Source organism: Homo sapiens, chromosome 3 (genome assembly GCF_000001405.40).
Source record: "Homo sapiens chromosome 3, GRCh38.p14 Primary Assembly".
In the NCBI taxonomy this organism is placed as follows: domain Eukaryota; kingdom Metazoa; phylum Chordata; class Mammalia; order Primates; family Hominidae; genus Homo; species Homo sapiens.
In genome coordinates, this window is record NC_000003.12 from 4711341 (window position 1) to 4733849 (window position 22509).

At 42.1% G+C, this 22509-nt stretch overlaps 1 protein-coding gene across 4 annotated transcripts in view, besides 1 other annotated feature; it reads left to right on the forward strand.

Annotated features, from left to right (window-relative positions):
- Positions 1–22509, forward strand: part of ITPR1 (inositol 1,4,5-trisphosphate receptor type 1) — a 354159-nt gene that overhangs the window by 217993 nt on the left and 113657 nt on the right. For 2 of the 4 annotated variants that reach the window (NM_001378452.1, NM_001168272.2), the window contains 5 exon segments: positions 417–528; positions 6027–6059; positions 14206–14241; positions 15786–15833; positions 21748–21880. In NM_001378452.1, coding sequence (NP_001365381.1) covers positions 417–528; positions 6027–6059; positions 14206–14241; positions 15786–15833; positions 21748–21880 — 362 coding nt within the window. 4 annotated transcript variants of the gene reach the window in all.
- Positions 7574–8074: an enhancer, noted in NCBI's record as "H3K4me1 hESC enhancer chr3:4760598-4761098 (GRCh37/hg19 assembly coordinates)". NCBI's record gives its function as "activates a minimal SCP1, AML or CMV promoter by ChIP-STARR-seq in primed H9 embryonic stem cells {active_cell/tissue: H9 hESC(primed)}" and the evidence as "EXISTENCE:reporter gene assay evidence [ECO:0000049][PMID:30033119]".

Below are 22509 nucleotides of genomic sequence, written 5' to 3' on the forward strand. Positions count from 1 at the left end.
GAACTGTGTGTATTGGCCTCAACCATCATCCTCATGAGTTGTTTTTGTTTTACAGTGTTGGCATATTTGACCCATTTTACTGGCAATTCTCAGTGGATAAATAGCCACGCTTTATAAACGAGCAGGTCTGAGTGGACCTCTGTCTCGGTTCTCCTCTCCATATAATCTCTCCATTGTATGTGGCTGACTCCTGCCCAGTGAGCCTGTTTGCTGTGATTTACCAGCAGGTGTCACTATTGAGACACAGTTGCTAACTGGCTGTTCTCAGTGCAGGGAATGCCCTGAAGTATCTTTAACCTGAGAGCTCTTAATAAATATTTGTTCATTAACGGACTAGTTAAAATAAATTGCTTGTGAAGTCTTTTTAATTTAAAATTAGCTTCAAGGAAGTAATCCGTGGTTTTCCCCCCATTCAGGTTAATAAAGCATACAAAACAGCTGCTAGAAGAAAATGAAGAGAAGCTCTGCATTAAGGTCCTACAGACCCTGAGGGAAATGATGACCAAAGATAGAGGCTATGGAGAAAAGGTACTGCATTTTATTTTCATGGTCAAACCAGGTTTTACTATGAAACTGAAGGGAGGGACCTTTCAAAACCCACCTTAGCTCAGGCATTACTGACTGAGGGGCTAGCTTTTTTTAAAAGAAAGAAAGAAAGAAAGAAAAAGCTGTTTATCCTGCCGTTAAAGGGAGCTAAATCATATGACTGTCTTTTTTAAAAGTCAAATATACTTAGTCGTCTCTTATAGGCTGATTGCCACATAATCTAATGTCAGAGAAGTGGTAATAACAAGATTTTCCATCTATTTAAATTCCCAGTGAGGAGCAAATGCCTCTTTTGTATCAAAGTATGCGTTTCTGATTTTTAGGTTTCAGCCAAGCATACCTGTGGGTTTACTTGCCTCGTTCAGATGAGCTGTTGCGCAATCCTTTCAGTGCATCAAGAAACGCCCTCCACTTCTAACTGCAATTAAGGCAGGCATACACGTCACCACTTCTGAGGGAGATTGGGAAATGGACAGTCCCGTGACCTGATTGTTCTTAGTATATGCAGTGAACAAGGATATACCAGATCCATTCCTTACACCTCTGATGTTGGGTAGAGCAGGACAGAAACAATGTCATTCCCTTTCCTTTCAGCCCCCAGCAACAAATGATGGGCGTGAATTGAAATCTCACTCATTTTCATTTGAAGGTAATAATGTTCAGTAACGGTCAGCTAGCTACATTTAGCAACAATTTCTGAGTAGGTGAATATGCTGATATCACTGACTTATCAAAATACCCAGTAAGTCATTTTTCAGCTCTAGGAAGAAGCCTTGATAATTAAATCAGCCTGCCTTGTCAAAATCGATGGTGGCAACCAGATTGTCACAAGTATAAATGTCTGCAGGAATGTTGCTTTCTAACCTATCTGTCATTAATATTAGAGCAATGTTACTAGTGAGACTCCTTGGATAAGAAAACAGAAAACGGATTTTGCAGTTTCTTAGTTTATACCACGGGGCATAATCTGTAAGCAACAAGAGTTCCATGACTAGAAATGTCCATTACATTTTTTAGAAACTAATTAGAACATAGGTTTCTGTAACTCAGTAGGAATTTTGCAGAGAAAACCTGCCAGACAAGAGTTTATAAATATAAATGATGGAAGTGAAGACCCCTGGCAAGGTGAGAAGTGCTGGGATGGCCTGTTCATACCTGTATAGGCACCTAGTAGATCTCTTAAAAACAAGAAAAGAAAAAAGGTGGGGGGTACGGGGGAAGGCTGATGGCAGAGAATACACTTACCAGACAAATAAATATTAACCATTTATTTCACAAGATCTTCATTTCTCTTAAAGTGAGTTTTCAGAAACATTTATAAAATATGAATCTAGTTACAGAAACTTGCTCTCCATAAAAAAGGTTAAATCCACCAAAGCTGAGTGAATATTTTTGCATCCATGGGCATAAAACCTGATTTTTCAAATCTGGAGACCACAATTTTCTCTTATTTGGAATATCTATTTCTTTCCATAACCGAGGTATTTAAAGTAAACTTCGGTGCCTCTATTCTAGTGACTTACAAGTTGTGATTATACATGCAGTTCCCTGCAGTTGTCTTTTTATAACCTGGAACGTAGAAGCATTGTCCTGGAGTTTCCTGAGTCTCTATTGCCTGGCGGACAAGTATGTCAGGGTCTTTGAGGCTATGTGGAAGGTGTGCTGCCCTGCTCCCTGCCCCTACCCATTAGTGCCAACTGGGAGAGCATCCCAGACCCCAGGGGATGCCGCATGAGAAATGTCGTAATGCATGTTATAAAGCTCATGGAGAAAGAAAGGGCATAGGGTTGAGAGGACCCTCAAAGGAGATCACTTGGAAAGAGTAAATTATATCACAGTTTTGTAGAGGTTCCTGGGGTCTAGCTTAAATCCTTTTCAGCTGGTGAAGAAATCAGTCACACCTAAGCAGAGAGGCTTGGAGAAGAGATGGCCTTTCTTTCCAGTCTGGTTAGGGCTGTCATTCCCATCCATGAATGTGAACAAACTATAGGCCAGCAAGGAAAATGCCATGAAAGCAAGGAAGATGCTCTAGAAACCCATGTTAGCCACTCCAAACCTGCAAGACTTGTCGTGCTTCTGGCCCAATGCTTGACTGCCAGGAAATGCTACTTAGCCATTCCTATTAATTGAGCTTCAAAAGAGAGAGAAGGAGAACAAGGGACACTAAAGTATTTCTGTCTCCTGACCTGGTAGCTGGTATTCACTTTGTCTGTCTCACTAAGGCTTTTTGAAGATGCTTTTTGATGGTTTACTGGCTGCCCCGTTTGACTAAAGAAGCATGACGCACAGGGCAGGCCGACTTTTTCAAGGGCAGAAATAACCCGGAGCCAAAGAACTAAGCTTTCTCAAGCAAACCAGTTGGCTTGAGTCAATATAATAAATGAGGTGTTCTTTGGCCTGGGTGCTGAGGACGACACCACGGTGAGTGTGGAGGCCGTTTCCCTCCTCCCATCCCTGTTTTCTGATGAGTGGCCTCTTATGGAGCTTGTCCCATGACTGACACTTCCCTGGTGATGTCCAGAATTGTTCTGCTTCTCTGCCCTCTCCTGAGCCTTCACCGCCAAAGAATCGGATCTGGAGGGGCCCTGGCATGGCTTCTTCCAACTCTCCCTGTGCCTACGAGGAGGCTGGGGCTAAGAGCTGAGAGACTGCCCGAGGTCACGTGTGAAGTCTAGATGAGATCAAGACTACCGTCTGGGTTTCCCAAATCCCTGTGAGGTGTCCTCTCCAGCCTCTCCTGAGGTGGTGTCCACCATGTGTGGGCTGGGTTTTCTTGCCTTTTTTCTAAGCGATAATCCTTAAAGATGACGAGACGTAGGTACCTTTACCCATCTTTACTTTTTCATTCAACTTTAGTACTTAGTCAAGGTCACAGATGAAAAAGAAAGTTGACATCATTCTTTATTATCCTGTTCAAAAACTTTGGCGTGCCTGTTTGGGTCTCCCTGCCTTGGGGAAGAAAGGCCATGAAGAACTGTCACCCATATTACCAAATAGACTAAAACATGATAGAATCACTGTAAGACTGACCTACACTTTTTAAAAGTCATGGATATTCACTAGTTTCCTAGATTATAAGTTACAATGATAACATTGATCGACCTCTTGTCATGTGCTAGCCACTATACTAAACACATCTGCCTTATCTCAGTTCAGCCTCAGAGATAGATACCACTATTGTCATTAACTATTTTATACGCAAGGAAGAGAAAACATAGGCTCTGAGAGCTACAGAATTTGCCCGGGGTTACATAGTTAATTACAAGGCAACCTGGCTTTCAAACCCAGACAGTCCGATCCTAGAGTCCTAGCTCTTCACCACTGCATTATCAGTGAACAGATGGACACCATTTGAGTGTTTTGAGGTCCACCTACAGGTTGAACCTGTAAGTTTCCTTTATGTTACACGATTATGTAAACAATAGTGGGCATTAGCCCTGAGAGCACTAAATGTATCAAAACTTAAACATCTAGTCTTCAGCTCATTGCTGATTTTTCACACAGTTGAGAACACTCTCCAATAGACGCCAAGTGCATTTACAAAGTGTGATTGTCCCAAGGTCATCCAAAACCTGTAGTTTTGGTCAGTTCCCACACAGAGGAATCAGACTAGTGAGTAGCAAGTGGTTGGTTCACTTGTCTGGGTCCAGTGCCCCCAAGAAGTGCCTGTTCAAGAACTATCATGGCCGGATATGGTGGCTCATGCCTGTAATCCCAGCACTTTGGGAGGCCGAGGCGGGTGGATCACCTGAGGTCAGGAGTTCGAGACCAGCCTGGCCAACATGGAGAAACCCCGTCTCTACTAAAAATACAAAAATTAGCCTGACGTGGTGCCACACTCCTATAATCCCAGCTATTTGGGAGGCTGAGGCAGGAGAATTACTTGAACCCAGGAGGTGGAGGTTGTAGTGAGCCAAGATTGCACCACTGCACTCCAGCCTGGGTGACAGAGCAAGACTCCATCTCAAAACAACAACGACAACAAATTATCACATATGATGAAAGGTAGGGGCTGACTGAAGAAGATGGCCAGAGATTTTAATCATGACCACTTAGGAATAAAAAAAATCTTTAATTCTTATGTCTCTAAAATGCAAAGGACCACCAATGCATATACTTCTCAGATCGTTAAATATAAAATAAATATTAAAATTATCACCAAAATAATGATGAAATACATTTTTGCATGATGCTTATAGTGTCTTTTGGTCCTGTGTATTCAAAGTTAATAAACTTTAAAATTATATCAGGACTTTATAAACACTCTGTGTGCAATGCCTACTAATCTCTGCTTTTAATCTACAGTTTAAACCATGTCTGTGTTGAAAAGAAAATAACCTCCCACAGCTAAATAGCTCTAAAATTTAATCTGAATCACTCTCTAACTCAGAAAATCTTCAAGCCCCTAGACCCTGCTTGAGAAGGAAACATAATTATTTTATGTATTATTAATAACTGGTTTTGTTTACTGTGGGTTTTTATTATTAAACTGCTGTTGACTTAAGTTATTACTCAAAGAGCTTTGGAAAGAAATTCAGAGGCCAGGAATTAATGTAAAAGGATATCTTAGAATGTATTTAAAATCCATTTCCCTTCTGAATAGTAGTAGCTGTTTTAGTACTAGAAAGTATATGACCTCAGGTAATGCCTGGGTTTTCATTTCATACAAATTGTCAGTCTCCTATTAATTACCAAAGCGTCTTTGCTCCAGCTGAGTAAAGTATTAACATTTCCAGCTACTAGTGTTTCTGACAGCAACTTAAATTTGCAAAACATACTAAATGTTAACAAAGCCTAATAAAAAATCAGTTGAGGATCATCCAACTATCCTTAAACAAGCGTAATTGTGATACTTCTCTTGTGCTTTTGTTTTTCTTGGACACGATGCTGATAAATCCCATGTCACTAATATCACTTGAGTTGGCACTAATCATCCTAGAGGGAATATAGTTTCCTTTAATCATCCACAGGACCAGGCTGGGGATATGCTGGTCTTATTAGCTGCTGAAGTTACAGCTGGTACCGTTTGAGCTTCTGACCCCCGACTGAGTCATAAAATGAAGCTAAGGAAAGAATTTTCTTCTAAACTGGGCTAATTCTACTCTAGTCTTTCACTCTACTCTTTCCCACCCTCTTCGGAAAAAAACATTGGGGAATTTGCCCTTGCTCCCAGCTCGGTTCATGTTTTCATGTCCACAAGCAAGCACACGGCTGTCTGCACATGTGGTTAAGTGACCTGCGAGGTCTGATGCCTGATATGTGAATAAAGCGTGGCAGCATCGTGTCCGTTTTGGTCCTGAGCAGATGTCACTGTGAGCTCTGGCCGTGTCCTAAGCGCCCAAGCCTCTTAGGATGGTTACCCATCTAGCAAGGCTTTAAGGAGAAACGTCAGCAATAAGAGTAAAGTCTATAAACTTGGCTGGCTTGTATTTCCTTTCCTAACATTTCCTTCTCTCTCTCTCCCCTTTTTTCTTTTCCAGCTAATTTCCATTGATGAATTGGATAATGCTGAGGTCCTAATTTTGTTGTTTTTTGTTTTTCATGTCTCATGGTGGTGTTTCCGTGACACCTTCCCAGTTAGCCCTGTGATCCTTCCTCTAGTCTCACAGCGTCGAGTATCTGGCTTTGTGTGGTGTGCCCTCTGGGAGTGAGTGGAGTCTGTCGTGTCTGTGTTAGCATTTCCCATGAGTTTGTTTGCCATTAGTCCTTGGAGATCTCATCTGAGTCTAGATGAAGACTTTCTAAACTGCAGTAAGATTTTAATTGTTCACTGTCTAAAATCTCAGCTGAATTTGTGGTTGACGCTGGCCATTAACCTATCTCTGAAAGTCAGTTTTGAAATTGGCCTAAAGAACTTCTCTATCTGTGAGTAAAGCATCTGATACAAAACGATACAACAGCATTGGTATAATTTGAAAGTAGTAAAAAAGGAAAACTCATTACCCTCTTGGTCTACGTATTGAAAAGTATTGAGTGTGAGAGTTCATATAAAACTTTTTTTAAGCGCAGTGTGAATTCCTACGTGCTAGTTGAGACTTTCCATCCGCAGGCTCACCGGCAAGGTTAGAAATGTCCTGTATCCATGGCTTCTCTTCTAGGAAAACTATGTATAGATCCAGAAATTGAATATCATCCAGTGGCTTCTGTACTTATATATCAAGCTAGTTTCCCGTACCCAGAATTACCATGGAGACTGACTAGTGGTCATTTTGTTTGGGATCTGGGGGCCTCTTGAATGTTTTCTGTTTTGTGCATTTCTTCAGTATTCCTTGCTGTATTTTTAGGTTGTGACACATGCTAGGTAAATGCTACCAGAAAATTTTAATTTGAGGAATTCATGTACATAATTGAGAGGGTTTCATTGGTTGGCAAATCAAGCAAACTGGACAAAAACTTAATTTGTCTTTTAAAAGTCACTTCTCTGATCTACTTCAGATCTCTGTTTCTTCTTTTAGTAGACCAACTAATGCCTTTAGATGAGATAGAGCTACCAAATAGAACATGCTGTCTACTCTAGTATCTACTCTAATTAATACACCGTAATTTCAGGAATACTAAGAAATGGTTCAGATATCCCTAAGGAGGGTTTGAATTACCAGCTTGAAACAGAAAGCAGCATGAGTGCTTATGTTGAATTTGGCACAGTTGCCTCCGGAATGGAGCTCAGAGAGGCTAAGTGACTGGTCCTAGCTCACACAGCTAGACAGTGACTAAATCAGGACAAACACGTGGCTGGCTTTCCTGATGTGCTTACTGTTCTACCACAGTCAATTCCATAAGCACAGATTTTTCCTTATATTAATTAGACGGGAGCAGGTGAGAGGGCCATGCCTTCTGGGAAGACTAGAAGGTGAGAAAAACAAAAGGGAGTGCACCAACTTAATTAACTGCCGTTAACTGCAGGGAATTTTGCCGTTTCCTGTTTAGCATTCCTTCTTCCGGGTTATTTATATGCCAGAAAAATCACTTCTATGCTGAATTTGATGTTGGCACCCTTTAAGACTCTTGTTTCTACGTAGAGTTGTAAATGCCTCACTGATTTAAATTTTTCCTCTGAAATATTGAGGTTGAGTTTCTATTTGCTTAAGTACAAATGAAGTCGGGAAAGGAAAACCTTCCCTAATCAGAGTCTGTGGTGTTATTAATACACTGTTTTGCCCCATAGTAATCAGTTGATGTGTTTGCTTGCTCAAGATAGAACTTGGGTCTCCTGGCTGGGAGTTTATTGCTCACTTATGGAAAGATTCCACAGTTGGAGCAGGTGTGTTTGTAATTATACTCTAGGAAATAGAATACTGTCTGTTTATAAAAGAGGAATGTTCTGGCAGCCACTCAGATTCTTTGAAAATTCCCTGAAGAAGCAACTGTGGATCCCCTTCTGCGTTGTTCCCCTGGCAACTGCCAGCGCTGGGACACCGATGCCCTGTCCCCAGCCCCTCAGGCTGGTGGATCTGGCCCTCTCAGCGGAGATGCCTCCTTGGCCTTTATAATTGATGCCGTTCTGGAAGCTACCACAGCTCCTGTGGTTTCTCCCCCACCAAGTCGTTTGCCGGTGTGTACTCCTGGAAACCTGCAGCCCACAGCTGGAGTTCTGCAGAAGCTTAATGAGAATTCGTGCTGGCCCGGGATTAAGGCAGGGCCTCACATCTGAACTGCGTACCCATGTTCCAAAGTCTAAATGTGGTGGGGAAGAGCCCCAAGGCTGTGTAGGGCCTGCCCAGTGGCCCACTGAGGAAGGGACGCCATGCTTTGATCATAAAGGCCACTTGATGTGCAATTAATGACTTGATAAAAAGTACAATGCCTACTGAGGCCCTGTCAGTGCTCTGAGAAAACAGGGTGAAATGAGGACACAGGTGTAGATTTCCTGCAAGAAAAGCGCATGGTATGGGGTCTTCCCCGCTGCATTCTAGAATAAAATTTTGTTTGAAACCAGGAAGAGGAGGGGTTGTTTGTTTTTTGGCAAGCAAAGAGGCAGGGTCTCCATCCTTACCCCCTGATTTTTCTTAATCCCCTGGGGCTGGGGCAGGGGGACAGATGGGGTGGAGGAGAGAGAGAAACTCCTCATGTTGTTGTACCTTCCGCTCAGAGCTGGGTGAATTGTTACACATGTGTACACCTGTGTAGCCGCCACCTAAATCAAGACACAGAATGTTTCCATCATCCCAGAAAGTTCCCTCCTCTAGCCATTCTTGGCTTGAAAGAGTTAACAGCTGGTGCTAAAGACATTCATTTATATGACTAATATTTGAGTGCCTGTTACGTCCAGGGGGATTTGGATACAGTGGTGCCCCAAATGGGCACAGTGTCTGCCATTCTGGAGATTACAGTTTTGTGGGGGGCAAAGGGACAATAATACAGATTCATGCAAGATGACAGCTCTCAGCTGTGAGACACATTAGAAAGGAGAAGCTCATGGAATCCGGGGACTTCTACCTAAGCAGGGAGGCCAGGTAGCGGCTTAGGAGATCAGGTGATGACAGGTGAGTGGCCCCAACAGGTAATCATGTGAATTGCTTTCCTATGCTTTAAAGTGCTGCACTAATCAAACGGATAGTTCCAGCGAAGTACTCCCGAGGTGGTGAGCAGAACAGTAGTCCACCTAGTTTTCATAGATGTGTCTGTAGAAGGGATTGGTGTGTTTAGAAAGCAGGTACTGTGGTTCAGTGGACGTGTCTGTTTCTACGTATTTGAGATGTGATTCCCACTGAATCACTGCCTCCTTGGAACTGTGGAATCTCTGGAGCCATTGGTGCCAGCTAGCAACTTTGCCCTCCTGCATTGCAACAAAAAAGCTAAATTCACATTCCAGCTACTCAGGGCGGCTGCAGCCTGCATATGTTAACTCCTCGACTTCTCCTACTTGAGCTGCTTCTGCCGGCAAAAGATGCCATTGTAAAATTCGAGGTAGAGGGGGAAACAGGAGAAACAAAGAGTGATTAAATTTCACCTTCAGGGGGCGTTCTCATGACGCCCAACCCAGGGTGGAGATGTCCTACTTTTTACATTGCTGTGAACTGCTGGGTTGGGTACCTGCCAGTGTTCAGGCAGCAGTTACATAAGAGCTGCTTTTTTTCCTGGAATTTAGGCTCACTGCTGATGTGTGACCTTCAGCAGTAATTGCCAATAAATGCAGTGGGGCTGTTTACTGTTAGACACTGGCAACCACAGAGCAAACTCAACTCAGAACATACAGAACCTATTGCAAAGTCAGTGGAGGGATATATATATATATATATTTATATATATTTATATATGTCTGTGTGTAGATACGTGTGTGTGCGTGTATATATATATATATATATATATATATATATGCATATCACTGAGATTATTCCGTAATGACTGAAGTTGTATAATTTGGTCATGTCAGAATGTGTTTTTAAAAAATGAACTTTGCTATTGGGTTCTGATGAGCTTGTCCTATAAACTGTAGGTGAAACCACATTGTTGGAGCTAAATAATTTTTGCTTAGTTCTGTTTCTAAAAACAAATAGAGTTAGTAAAGATAGTTGTCTCAGCAGATAGGAAGATTTAAAGTTGTTCTACTGAAATGCTAGATAACTTCTATTTTAGCTCAATTTTCTTTAAAGCTTTCTGTTTTCTTAGTGTGGGTTTTCAGAGGCTGATGCAGGATCGGGCCCAGCAAACATATTTGCAAGCCTGTTCACTGTTGGTCTCCTCTGAGGTTATGAGTGAGTGGAAAGGAACTCTGAAGACTGATTCGAGCGGCTGGAGATACAAATTGTCTTTGATTTGCTGATAACTAGATCTACGGTACAGTTACATTTTTTGAATTGCATTCGGTTTCTATCAGGTTAGTCATAGAAAGAGACATCCCATTTCAAAGGAAAATTCTAGAAGCCCCAGGGTAGGAAGGGGATTACTGCTGAGGGCAGTAGAAAACAAAGGGTATTTGCAGGCCGCGATCTGTGCTGGTCTGTGATAGGCACACATGAAGCGGATGGATGGATGTGCGTGGGTGCTGTTGTGCAGACACCAGAAATAGTCACCTTAGGAAGTCTGTGTGCTCCTTTTCATTTAAGAATGATAAAGTATAATTTCTTTCATTTGTAGTAGAAATTTGTCCCTTGATAAAATGCTGGGTACATTATGTGTTGCAAGTGAGTAGATCAGTGTCGCATATGCATATATTCAGTTACTACCCAAGGTACCATAATGAGGGCCTGATTCGTGGCCTCATCCAGGAAGGACACTTAAGATTCAGTGACTTGAGGTGCAGTTTGAATTTCTATTTCAAAGCCATTCATTGGGAGTCATTTTTCTATTAAGTTAGGTTTTGCTCACCTCGCCTAAAAACACTGGGAAGACAAGATTGCAGAGTAAATATGAAGAGGCAGTAGAGGGCACTAGTTGGTTTCTCAGTTCAAAACCAGAGCACATCAGATCACTATGAATCGCCTGCTGATGTGTGAGATTGGCCTTGACTGGAGGTGCCAGCGCCTGAACGCAGTGACTGGTCCTGGGACTAAGCAGGAATACAGAACATGGGAATTTCAGAGAGCCCGTGCCCTCAAAATGTTCCCCCTAAACACATGTTCAATGAGGGCTTCACCTTTCATGTAAAAAACGTGACAATAAAAATATAATTCCATTTATTCATTTACTAAACATTATCTTTTCCTTGGGGTATTATACATTGTATTTATACAGATCTTATTTGAACATATATATCCTATTAATATGCTTATATTTATTGAAATTACAGCTTATTGCCATAAAATAACCTTATCCTCAAGGAAACATAGCCAACATCCGCATTAGAAGGAAGTGCTAGTATAGGCTATGGGTGGTTTTACCGACTTAGATACCATGTATGGCCTGGCCCCTTCCATGCCTGGCCCATGGGTTGGATTATTTAGGGAACTTGCCAGCTAGATATTGTGAAATGAAATTTACTGAAAATAAACCAAGGATTAATTAGTATTTTAGTTAGAAGGAATCCTAAAGAATATTTGCAGCCATGTGTGGTGACTCACACCTGTAATCCCAGCACTTTGGGAGCCCGAGGCAGGCGGATCACTTGAGGTCAGGAGTTCGAGATCAGCCAGGCCCACATGGTGAAACCATGTCTCTACTAAAAATACAAAATTAGCTGGGTGTGGTGGTGCATGCCTGTAGTCCCAGCTACTCAGGAGGCTGAGGCAGGAGAATCGCTTGAACCCTGGAGGCGGAGGTTGCAGTGAGCCGAGATCATGCCACTGCACTTCAGCCTGGGAGACAGAGCAAGACTCCATCACAAAAACAGACAGACACACAAAAAAAGAATATTTGCTTTGTCCTCCTTGAGTAGGTCAGGAAGTGGATGCCCAGAGAGGTTCAGTGACTGGCTCAGGGCCACACAGAGAGCCAGAGCTAAACCCTGGATGAGCCATAGTCACAGGATGCTCATGCAGTGCTCTGGGGTTTTCCAGTCTATTCCACGAAGGGATCACATTGAAAAGTGTTTTTCTGGTTAGACACGATTCTTGAAGATGCAAAGCATCCTCTGTTTTCTCAAACGGCTTCGTAAAATTTTCAAGGGAAAAGACAGTTATTAATTTAAATTTAATTTTTGTTTTAAGAATTAATTAAACTAATTTTAGAACAAGCATGACAGCAGTTTAACAGAGGAAATAGTGTGTCAGTACAATCATAAAACATAATCCCTGCCGGGTGATTAAGAAATAGATATATACTACCTATTTCTATTCTGAAAGAATTCAAGATGCTTCTCTGGACAAAGAGAGCACAGGCAAGAGAATTCAAACAGACGACATACTAGTTCCATCTTTATTTTCTTTTGCTTTTGTTTTGATTGGCAAAGGGGTAAGAGGGTAGCTCCGTGCATTCCTATGGTGAATCCATGCCTATAATTCTTTTGTTCTGATCATATTGGATCAGTATAAAGGATGCTGTAGTGGGAGGGTTTCCCATGCAAATAGTAGAATATAATACTTCTGTCTATATCTCTGTCTGCTCTAAAATGCATGGGAAATTGCTTTAATTCTGCTTTTTCTCATATGTTCTTTTTGCACTAAGGGAAGATAGCAAAAATGTTTACACAGTTTTAATTCTTTAGCATACAGAATGTAAGGGTAGAGTTAAAAATGCATTCTTGGATTGTGATCTTTCTATCATTTTGAAAATACCTTTACCTGTGCTCTGCTTTTACTTTCCTTCCCCACTCATGTCCTTCCTACCACCAGCACTGTCCCTCCCCACCCCGAGCAGGAGGCTGCATGCTTCAGAGGGAAGTTTTCTCCCTGAGATTAGTGGAGTTGGACTCATGCAGGAAAGGTCGTCTGTCCAGAATTGAGTGAGCAACCCTTGTTGTCTTTGCCGAAGTAGTTTAATGCCCTGGATCTTTCTTTCATTTTCTCTGTTGGGAAATAGACAAAAGACAGAAATCATTAGATTACATAATATAGCAGCCCTATATTAAGAGGCTTTCTTCCCTCTTGGGGATCAAACTATCAAAAGGGTAATGTTGAGCTGGACGAAGACACCACCAGATTTCGTAGTGTCACTCATCTCATGCTTTCAACACCAGCCCTGGCCTGCCACCTGACAGCCACCTTCTGGCCCTGAGGTGAGTGTGCTGGAGCCCTGTTAGAGGCCAAGGTCACATAGTTGCAGCGTGAGCCTCGGGTTTGTCTCGTGGCCTCAGACTACACCTCACACTAGTCACACCGCTGGTGTGTGACTTTGGTCCCGAGATGCCCAGGTGGGGTCTGGCAGTTCCATCTGACATCTCTTCTCTGCTCCAGGCACATGTCCTTTTGGAGGGCAGATTCACGGCACTGTCTGCAGATGGAGCGGTGGACTTTTCTCCAGGCACACCTTTGTGTAGCCCCTGCATGCCCTCTCACCCCTTCCCCCTCACCTGCATGTCCTTTCGAGGCATCCTTTTGTTGCTCATCCATGGGCTGGAAATTATTAAATCAAGGGGGAGGGTGGTATCTGTGTGGCATGGCTGGGATGGGGCCAGGAAACCCAGACCATGAAGCCCTCAAGGGAAACGCATGGGGTGGGAAACTCATCTCCAAAGTAACCCTGAGTGCAGGAAACCTTGTTTCTCCCAGAGACACTGGAGCAGGGAGACTGCATCCCCTAAGCCCAAGCTGGAGCCTAGGTCTTCTTCTCTGCTGTAGGACAGGATGTGGAGAATGGAGAGACATGGGAGAAAGCCTAAACCCACAGGAGACATGTGGCACGTGGAACTTTCCCAAGCCTTGGGCCCCTGCTTTCATCACTACCCCTGCTCCCCTGAGAGCCTCCGTGGACACGCATACTATTGCTTTCCTTGTCTCGGTGGACTGAGACAAGGATGTGCTGTGGTTTTTCCTGTCACTTGCTTTGTTTTAAAGCATCATTCCTCCTTGGTTAGTGGTAGACTTTTTTTGTTTCTTTCTTATCTTAAATGTGTTCCCCCATCGCAGGTCGATTGTCTCCTCCAGCACAACCACATTCAGTTTGATTTGAAGGTATCTGGTCACCTTGATTGCTGAAGCCCACTTCGGCAGGTGATCCAGCAGGGTTGCCTCATCTCTGATCCTTCCTCCTGTGTTTTGTCCTTGAGTGTTGGTCTCTGGACTTCTCTGTGGCCCACGAGATGCAAGTGCCATGACTAACGTACTTCGTTTTACTCCCAATTAGCTTCCTCCAGCTCCGGATTCTGAGAACGCCACTGAGGTGTGTTGCCCGCCTATATTTGTAGCGCCAGCGCCAGCAAATATGGATGCCTCTCAGTTGTCCTGGTTGGGTGTCTGAATTGTTGTAACAAAAAGTCTCTCCCGGTGGTAGATGTAGGAGGGAGGTCTCTAGGCTGGCTGGGAACAGATCATTGCTGACGTGGATGTGGCTCTCAGTGTAGAAAGTTCTGAGGAGCTGGATCCAAACTGAGCATCCTCCAGGTGCCAGGACATGGTTCTTTGAAAGTTCTCACTCAGAACCATCTTAATCCTGAGACATTTAGCTGAGACATGTGAGGATGTTAAGACCTTTCTGCTGTTATACAAAATTGACTTTGGGTCCTGTGCAGAGATGATGCACTTTTGAAGTTATTATAAATCAATAATAAAGAATATTTATAATTGTAGAAAAAGCTACTAATAAACTTGTAATTTTGCAATGCACTTTTAAAAATATTTTTATTTTTTTGAGACAAAGTCTTGTTGTCACCCAGGCTGGAGTGCAGTGGCACAACCTTGGCTCACTGCAACCTCTGCCTCCTGGGTTCAAGTGATTCTCCTGCCTCAGCCTCCCGGGTAGCTGGGATTACAGGCATGTGCAACAACGCTCAGCGAATTTTTGTATTTTTAGTAGAGATGGGGTTTTGCCGTGTTGGCCAGCCTGGTCTCAAACTCCTGACCTCAGGTGATCCACCCGCCTCAGCCTCTGAAAGTGCTGGGATTACAGGCATGAGGCTCTGCGCCCAGCCTATGATGCAGTTAAAAAAAAAAAAAAAATCTATCCTCCTTGCTGCTAACTAAACTCACTAAATGAAGGACTAACGTTTACTAAGGTCTGTAAGATCATAGAGAAGCTTTTTGGGGAGACATATTTCCAAGTATCAAAATTTAATTTCAGAAACTATTCCAAAATCACAGTAGTTCAAGCTAGAATGAAGTGTACTTTATTTGAAAGAAGACTTAAAAATGAAACATGAACAAATGATTGAATAGCTAAGTTGCAGTGTCTATGTTTTCTAATGATCAGTGTTTAATATCCTAATCAGAGCTCCTCATTCTGTTAACGGTTTTGTTACAAGACTTGTGTACTTGTGGGGTGGGGAAAGCCGTGGTCCCATATCTGTGTCTGCTCAGAGGCGTGTGTCTTGATGTCCTTATGCATGTGCTGTGCAATGATGCATGTATGAATCATAAGGACCTGCCCGATTGAGTCTTGCATTACAACCCCTTTTGGGTTAATGTCACAGCATATAATATAGAACTTCTTTTTCATGATCTTTGCAATAAATTATGTTGGCCAAAAAGTCATATGTCTGCCCATTTTGAACAGTGCACTAGGGTTGGGGGTATGGGACAGTCGTTAAGCAGCATCTAAAGTAATCAAGCATGGATATACGGGGGAAAAACAAAAATCCAGACCTATTCTCCTTTTGTGTAACTCTTGTCTATATATGAACTCTCAATGTATTTTATATGTGACTGATGCTGCAGATGGTAGTGTCTCCTTAGTGTTGTATTAAAATGGAATTTCTGCATGCCTAGCAGGAGCTTGAACCAAGTCCACCCCTGCGGCAGCTGGAAGACCATAAAAGGGTACGTAGTCTTGAGTCTTGGGTATCGGGAGCTAATGATCAATGACCGTAACACCTCCATCAGCCACACACTGTGATTGAGAGACAGCTTTTGTTGTTGATATTGTTAAAGCATTAATTGACTCAAGAGCAATCACAGCCATGTATATAAATGAAACTAAATAGTGGTTCTGCCCATTGTCTACCTGATCAGAGCACTGTAACCAGCTGGCCTCCAAATAATGACCAAGTAAACTTTTCATGTCCTTTTTTCTTTTCTGTGGTGGCTTTCTATTTAGGTGAAATATAAAAGAAAAAGAAAAACTGTAATGGCTGATGACCATTATAATTTATAATTTTAAAAAAATGGAAAAACGTTCATAATTACATTACCTAGCCACAAGAGCCACTGTTTTTGTTTGTTATTTGGGGTGGTTTTTTAGAGACAGATATTACTCTGTTGCTCAGGCTGGAATGTAGTGGTGCAATCTCAGCTCACTGCAGCCTCAACCTCCTGGGCTCAAGAGATCCTCCTGCCTCAGCTTCCCGAGTAGCTGGGACCATAGGCACCACACCCGGCTAGTTTTCTTTTATTTTTTATTTTTGTAGAGACAGAGTCTTGCTATGTTTCCCAGGCGGGTCTCAGACTCCTGGGCTCAAGCAATCCTCTTGCCTTGGCCTCCCAAAGTGCTGGGATTACAGGTGTGTGCCACCATGCCCAGCCCCACTAATGTTTTAATATTTCCTTCTACCTATTTTTTATACACATGAGCACATGTGCCAACAGACACAGGCACATTTGCATTGTCATTGGGATTATTCTAGGTATACAACTTTTGTACCCTGTTTTGTCATTTAGTACTGGATCTGAGCATTTGTTTTGAAAATCTTTGAAAGTTAACAGCTGCCTGAAGTTCCTCAAATTAACAGGTGGTTCATCACTGTTTTCCTTTGATGAAGAAATGAATGAATGTGTGCATCTTTGAATAAATTCCTAGAAGAGGAATTCCTTGGCCAAGGGGTAGATCTGTTTTTAAGGTGCTGACTGTGCCTTGCCAAACCATTTCTAGAAGATTGTGTATATCCATGAGCATGCTGACAGCACTGATTTTCATGTTGCCCATTTTTGGGAAGATAACCAGATGTCCTGGTGACACAGGCTTCATCCGCATTTCACAAGTAGGACCTTGAGACTCTGGGATGTTCAACATCTTGTCTAAGGTCATGGAGTTCAAAAATGACCTGTCATTATGAAGACTGTCTTGGAACTATGGTCGTCGGTGTCTAGGAGAATTTTTCTTTTATTTTTGTGGGTACATAGTAGGTGTATGTATTTATAGGGTACATGAGATGTTTTGACACAGGCACACAATGTGAAATACACACATCATGGAGAATGGGGTATCCATCCCCTCAAGCATTTATCCTTTGAGTTGCAAACAATCCAATTACACTCTTTAAGTTACTTTAAAATGTACAATTATGTTATTGTTGACTGTAGTCACCCTATTGTGCTATGAAATAGCAGGTCTTGTTCATTTTTTGTAACTATTTTTTTGGTACCCATTAACCATCCCCACCTGTCCCCTGTCTTGGAGAATTGATGCCTGAGATAAATGGGTAGCCAGATGCACCTGTACTCTGCTCACACACCCAGGCCCCTGCCCAGTCCCACTACATCCCAAATCCCTTTTGTTTTCTTGCTCTGATAGAGACATCAACTTTGTGATTTCTCAGACTAGGACCAGAGAATAGCTCCAGGAAGTTGGCATTTCATCCGAATTCGGGACATGAGGCTATAGCCCTTCTTCTCCAGCTTCCTGTATCTCCTGCACTTCATGGCCCGAGGCACCTTGCATTCTTATATTTTCCATCCTTGCCTGCCCTTTAGAATTGTCCTAGGTCCTAGGAGTAGCTGATAAAGGCACATAGCTGTCCCTCATGTCCTGAGCTCTCAGAGGACTTGGTATGGAATGCTGCCTATGCCTGTGAACTTTGTAATTAGAAACAGGTTCAAGTTTTGGGGTTTTCTTTTTGCCAGATACTAGCTGTGTGATTTTGAGCAAGTTAACCTCCCTGTGCCTCAGTTTCTTCTGCTGTAAAATGGGGGTGACAATGGTCCCTATACCTTAGGACAGTGAGCTGTGCACATGAAGCCCTTAACACAGTGGCTGGAATGTGATAAGGGATATTAACTTGTAGATACCTTGTGGAGTGAAACATTGAGGTGATTTTGTAGACAACAAGAGGAGAAGGAAGGTATTTTAAAATCCAGGCGCTACCCTCATGCCGACTAAGGTGTGAGAGGCTCACAGCTCACATGAGAGGGTGATCTTGCCTGAAGCACATGATTTTTAAGTGGCTGGAACCTGGGAAACCGAAAGGTCAGTTCTCTCTCTCCTTTGTGTGTGGCAATGTTAACTCCTTAGTGCCTTGTTCAACACTGGCTCTCTTCCCACGCAGTTCATTCGCTTATTTAGTTCAGTTCATATCAGTGGAACTCATATTGGTAGAGTGACCAGGTAGGAGCTTGGTTTAATTACTCCACATCACTAATCTACCAATTTTCATTGTTTTAATGTGACACTTATTACAAATGACTTTTTCTTTTCTCAGTCTTAGGTAATAATGTGTGGGAATTTCTGACTGAGACAAACATCTGATATTTGTTTGCATACTGTAGGTGTAAACTGCTGGAAAAAAACTGGTATTATTTTTAAAAAGGGTTGCACAGCCAAATGTTAAAGCTGAAGAAGTGACGTTATTTTAGAAGTCTTTTTTTTTTTTTTTCCTTCTCTGCAATCAGATTTCTCAGCCTGGTACATTATGAACAGCTTAGTGCTGTTGAGTAATTTATATCAGGATGATTAGGAAAGCTTTTCTCTGCAGATTTTAATTTTTCTTAAATTAAACCACTGGCTCAAACAGAATTTTCCTTGAACCCAAGTTTTCACATTAGAGATTTGCATAACTTTTAATAATTCTTATCCATTTTCCTTTTCTATCCCCTCTTACCTATAATTCTCAGTCTTTATTCTTTCAAAAAAGGAATGAATCTCATCTTTAAAAAAAAAAAAAACAAAAAAAAACCTTGCTCTCTGGTTTTTCTTCCTTGCAGTTTAATTGTGTGTGTGTGTGTATGTGTGTATAGAGAAGGTGAGATGAATATGTGCCAAAAACCTTATAATTAAAAGCAAAAAAAAAAGTTTGTTGGGTGGAATGTGTGTGTGTGTGTGTGTGTGTGTGTGTGTGTGTGTGTGTGTGTGTGTTTCCCCCAGAATGAGCACATTTCATGATATTCTCTTATGGGGGAAAATGTACCATTTGATGCATCAGTTGCTATGGTAACTGCTAGGGTTTTTCTGTTGAAGGAGAGACAAAATGGTAATGTGAGATCCCTTTGTAACTTGAGTTTGGCATCCAGTCTGCATAAATGTGGAGTTCCTGTTCCTGGCGTCCACGTGCTCCTTTCATTACCTCCTGCTTGCTTGATTGCAGACTGACCAGGGTCTTGCTGTTCACCCTCAAAAACACGAAGGGGGGAAGAAAAAAGCCACCACTAGAAACTGAAAATCTAAGCAAGTCACTCTAGCTCCAAGTGGAATCGTGGTACACAGGCTCCAGTTGAGACCCCCTTAAGAGATGTGTGTTTGTTGACTGGTCACAACCATACTGCCTTTCACTTGACCACTCAACCCTATGCTCTTTCAGATTCCCGTTGCGATGGCTACGTTGGCTGTCTTCCCTGGCTGCGGCTTACGGGTCTCAGCCCAGCCATCTAGCGCTCAAACAATGTTCTCACAGTGCCAAAGGGGATCCAGTCAGAGACTCAGGATGGTCAGCTGCCAATCACTCCTGTTGCTGGAACTCAAAGTCTGTGTCATACTGAAAGAAAATCAAATAGATGCATTATGATATTTAAAAAGGGAAATCATATTTAATCTATCATATTCAACATGGAGACAACCTTTTCTTTCTCTCAATTCTTTCTTCATAGGCTTTCTTGAATGTAGCTTTCAAACTTGTACTTCTCTTATGAAGTCAGCCTTTTAAATCACTGCGTTCCCAGTGACTTCTTCAGAGAGTGCTGATGTGTTTATACTGGTGCCTGAGACTGGAATACCAGTAAAGTTGTATCTTGTTTCCAGAATGGGGTATTCCAAGTCATTAAAGCATCTTGCACCGAAACTTTCTTCCCCACCTGTGAGCAGTTTATTTAAAAAGTACTTAAAATATCACCAGTAACTTACCCATTTGAAGCACTCTTGGAATTTTGAATTTACAGTCAGTCCAGTGGGAAATGAGTTTCATGAGCTGATAGAAGTTACCCTCCTTTGCTGAACTATGAAGAGAGGCATATTTGTGGGTGGAATGGAGAGAGGAAATTTGGGATTTTTTTGTTTTCTGCACATTCATTTAAAAATCAGTCCCCTCCCGTCTCCCCTGTTTATCCCATCCCAATCTGTCCCTGGAATCTTTAATTAGCAGCATGAATTAACAGAGTAGATAAACCCTTTCTGGGACTTTCCATGGTTTTGATGATTGACAGGAGCCAAGAGTTTCCTGCCTATCTCCTTTCCTCCTTGGTCCCCCACTTCTCCCAGGGTGCCTCACGTTTCCCAGGGTCCCTGCTTCAGTCTGCTCCCTCCCATCTTGTTTTGCAAATGCCTCACTTGAAATCTCCAGACCTATTCTCAGAGCTTATTAACAAATCATTTTAAATTCTTCTGACTCATGGTTCAGTTGCAGGTCTCTTCAAAAGAACTCTGGAGTCTCTGTTTTAGAGACCTGCTAGATTTCAACACCTTTCCTCTCGGCCAGACTTCTTCTCCCTCACCTCTCTTCATGACGTACCAGAGGAACTCCGTGACTTGCTACTTTGATTCCGGAAAGGAGTCCAGGGAAAATTTATACAGCCTTTGACTTTTAGAACCTTCAGATTAGGAGGTGGTCTTGGGGCCCCTTAGGAGTGCGGGTGAAAGTGTAGAGCTGAGAATGCAGAACGCATGCTGCCTCTGGTTACTGGCTTGCCAGTATCCCCCAGTATTACTGAACAATGGAGGTTTTTTTGGTTAGAGTAATAACAAAGAGTTACTATATCCCTGTTCAGGACTCTTTGATATTTATATTTTTAAAAAATTTTATTACAGAAAGGTTGAAATGTATATAAAAGGAGTCAGAAAGGTTTTGAAACCCCTCATTCATAACTCTGCTTCAACAGCAACTGTCAGCTCATGCCCACTCTTGTCTCACTTATATCCCTCGCTGCTTCCCCTTCTCTCCTGTATTGTTTTAAAGAAGATTCCAGACAAAATGCCATTTTACCTATGTTGGGTTTTTTTTTATATATTTGATATCTGCCACTCATGCCACTAATTTATTTCCTATAGCATTATGAGGTTTTTGTTGTTGTTTTGGTTTGTCTTTTGTTTTTTTAACCATTTGGCCCATCGACTATTTTTGTAAGAAAGGCTTACTCTTGGCTTATTGTATCATCTTATTCTATTACCCTGATATCTTAATATTTTTTCGGACCTTGGGAATAAACCTTGTGGTTGAAATAACATTTTTATATTGCTATGTGGAAGCTGACCTGTAAGCCTTTTCAATTTGTCTTAATTTTATCAACTTACCCCAAAGAGATTTTTGTTTGTTATTGTTAGTTGTCCTTCAAAATTACTGTTCTGTCTTATCATTGTGTGAGAGGGAACTTCAGTCAATATTTTAGATTGCTACCGTTTTTTAAAAAACATCTGGTTTTCTGAGAAAATATTGAAGTTAACTTCAGAGTTTCTAAATGCTTCCATGAATAATTTATTCTTTCGCCAAGTGAAACTGGGCCAATTATAACTGAGTACCCCTGTGTGTTTTGAATATTCGTCCCTCGGTGATGCATTAAATGCAGAAGCTGATTTTATTATCCTGTTTGAATTAAGGGTGAGGCGCTCAGGCAAGTTCTGGTCAACCGTTACTATGGAAACGTCAGACCTTCGGGACGAAGAGAGAGCCTTACCAGCTTTGGCAATGGCCCACTGTCAGCAGGAGGACCCGGCAAGCCCGGGGGAGGAGGTACGCTTTGTGGTGTAATTACCTTCGTGTGTGAATCAAGTGTGTTCTGTGATAGCTGCATGTTTCCTCCTAACAGGTTGAAATGCTCACAACAGATGAATTTGTGTTGCAGGTGTATTTTTTAGCAACTTGTTTTGTCTTTGGTCTACCATCAAATTGATGCCTAAACATATTTTCCTGCAAACTAGCATTTCCCTGCAACTAGATGGTGGCTAAGCCTTTTGCTCCTCCTTCCCATGCAGTGACCATCTTGGTGATGGTTGAATGATTTGAGGGATTTGATTTTATTGCACTTCGTCCCGTGGTTGTTAGGACTCTTGTCTTTCCGTAAAATAATGAGGATATTGGCACCCAGGATAGTGAAAGCTGCCATTTATTATACATTTACTGAATGCCAGGGGCTTTCCTAAGTGCATTGCATTCTTTGTCTCATTTTCTCCTCCCAGCTACTCATTATATGATAGGTACAGTCTATCCCAGTTCCACAGAGGAAATGGAAGCTTGTTAGTGGCTGGTCTGTAATTTCAGCCTGGTATATCTAATTCTAATGCCCATGCTGTGTACATCCACAAACTCCTATGGGAGTTTACAAAAAAACATCCCTGTACAGAAGTGCTTACTTTAAATCA